The 1,961-nt window shown below is 51.6% G+C and overlaps 1 protein-coding gene across 9 annotated transcripts in view, besides 2 other annotated features; it reads left to right on the top strand.

Moving 5' to 3' along the window:
• Positions 141–370: a silencer, noted in NCBI's record as "silent region_7164". NCBI's record gives its function as "represses an Ori minimal core promoter by ATAC-STARR-seq in GM12878 lymphoblastoid cells {active_cell/tissue: GM12878}" and the evidence as "EXISTENCE:reporter gene assay evidence [ECO:0000049][PMID:35858748]".
• Positions 266–1,961, top strand: part of ANKS3 (ankyrin repeat and sterile alpha motif domain containing 3) — a 37,761-nt gene continuing 36,065 nt past the window's right edge. For 5 of the 9 annotated variants that reach the window (NR_040252.2, NM_001324129.2, NM_001242929.2 and 2 more), the window contains exon 1: positions 266–381. Coding sequence is in view for 2 of the 9 variants with exons in the window: in XM_011522372.2 (XP_011520674.1) it covers positions 566–599 (34 nt within the window). In the remaining 7 variants the exon portion in view is untranslated. Of the gene's footprint in view, positions 600–1,961 lie in introns of all 9 variants that reach the window. The other 4 variants (NM_001324130.2, NM_133450.4, XM_011522372.2 and 1 more) reach the window with 3 other exon arrangements.
• Positions 421–480: a silencer, noted in NCBI's record as "silent region_7163". NCBI's record gives its function as "represses an Ori minimal core promoter by ATAC-STARR-seq in GM12878 lymphoblastoid cells {active_cell/tissue: GM12878}" and the evidence as "EXISTENCE:reporter gene assay evidence [ECO:0000049][PMID:35858748]".

Here is a 1,961-nt window from a genome sequence, read left to right as displayed (position 1 = left end):
GCCTCCGCCTTCCCCCCACCCCGCCCAGCTCCTCTTTCGGGCCTTTGCGCGTCCTGCCTCTCCTGCAATGGGATTGGTTCCCCTGGAGGGCGGGGACGGAGCAGGACAAACACCACTAGCTCATTGGCTACCGCGGGCATCAGACAGCGAGCCGGGAAGCTGACCGGAAGGTCCGGGTGCGGGACGTGTGCATTCCACGGCGCCCGGGAGCTGTCCCGGTGCCGACCCGCGAGCTTCCCGGCGTGCTCCGCGCCCTCCCGCAACTACTTCCGGGGCGGGTGCCGGGGGCGGTGCCCCGGCGAGGGAGCGTGGCGGCGAGCTGTTTGGGGGGGGTTGGCGACGGCAGCCCGAGGGCGGCGCAAGGCCTGAGGCCCAGCACAGGTGGGTTCCGCGGCGGCCCGGCCCCAGCACTTGCCGGCACCTGCAGCCCGCCTAGACCCGGCGCTCGGGCGTCCCGCGCTGCACTTGCTCGCCGCGTGACTGGAGGACCGAGCCCCCACATTTTCTTTATGTGGTTGTGGTGGGGGCACAGTAATGCCCTGTGCGCCGTAGCGTTCCTGTGGGGATGTGGCCGGGGGGCGTCGGGAAGCGTCACTGCTGTGAGTTACGGGTTTGTCGGCCAGGGACCCGCCCCGGGGCCAGTGAGCTACCTTTGCGATGCGGTTCCACGGGGCGAGAGGGGGTGCCTGGGTGCTTTCACAGACCTCCTCTGTGGGCGTGACAGTTACCACCAGCATCACATTTGTTAAGATTTTTAAAAATTTTTTAATTTTTGTGGGTACGTAGTAGGTGTATATATTTATGGCGTATATGAGAGATTTTGATACAGGCATGCAGTTCGTAATAATCACATGTAAAATGGGGGTCTCCATCCCTTCAAGCATTTATCCTTTGTGTTACAAACAATATGATTATACTCTTTGAATTATTTTTAAATGTGCAGCCGGGCGCGGTGGCTCACTCACGCCTGTAATCCTAGCACTTTGGGAGGCAAAGGCGGGCGGATCACCTGAAGTCAAGGATTTGAGACCAGCCTGGCCAACATGGGGACACTTCGTCTCTACTAAACATACGAAAACTAGGCTGGCATGGTGGCTCATACCTGTAATCTCAGCTACTCGGGAAGCTGAGGCAGGAGAATCGCTTGAACCCAGGAGGCGGAGGTTGCATTGAGCCGAGATCACGCCGCTGCACTCTAGCCTGGGTAACAGAGTGAGATTATGTCTCAAAAAAAATAATAATAAATAAATAAAATGTGCAATTAGATTATATTGACTATAGTCACCCTGTTGTGCGGTCAAATACTAGATCTTTTTTTTTTTTTTTTTTTTTTTGAGACGGAGTCTCGCTTTGTCGCCCAGGCTGGAGTGCAGTGGCTTGATCAAATACTAGATCTTATTCATTCTGTTTTTTTTGTATCCATTAAGCATCCCCACCCTCCACTACCCTTCCCAGCCTTGGTTACACTAGAAGTAACCATCCTTCTACTTTCTATGTCCATGAGTTCAGTTGTTTTGATTTTTAGATAACCACAAATAATTGAGAACATGCAATATTTATCTTTCTGTGCCTGGCTTATTTCACTAAACATAACGATCTCCGCTTCCATCCATGTTTTTGCAAATGATAGGATCTCATTCTTTTTTTATGGCTGAATAGTACTCCATTGTGTCTAAGTACCACATTTTCTTTAGGATTCACTGTAAAGGTAACAGATACTTAGCATTTTCAGAATGGACAGAACCAAAAAGTTGAATGAAAACTAAAACGTCTTATCTCTAATGCTACTTTACACCACACCACTCGGGATGGGACATTTTAGTTTTCACTTTAGTGTTTTTTTTTTGTTTTTTTTTTTGAGACAGAATTTCGCTCTGTTGCCCAGGCTGGAGTGCAGTGGCTTGAGCTCGGCTCACTGCAATCGCCTCCCAGGCTCAAGCGATTCTCTTGCCTCAGCCTCC

The sequence above is a fragment of the Homo sapiens genome, chromosome 16 (genome assembly GCF_000001405.40).
Source record: "Homo sapiens chromosome 16, GRCh38.p14 Primary Assembly".
In the NCBI taxonomy this organism is placed as follows: domain Eukaryota; kingdom Metazoa; phylum Chordata; class Mammalia; order Primates; family Hominidae; genus Homo; species Homo sapiens.
This window is presented reverse-complemented; position numbering and strand designations above follow the sequence as displayed.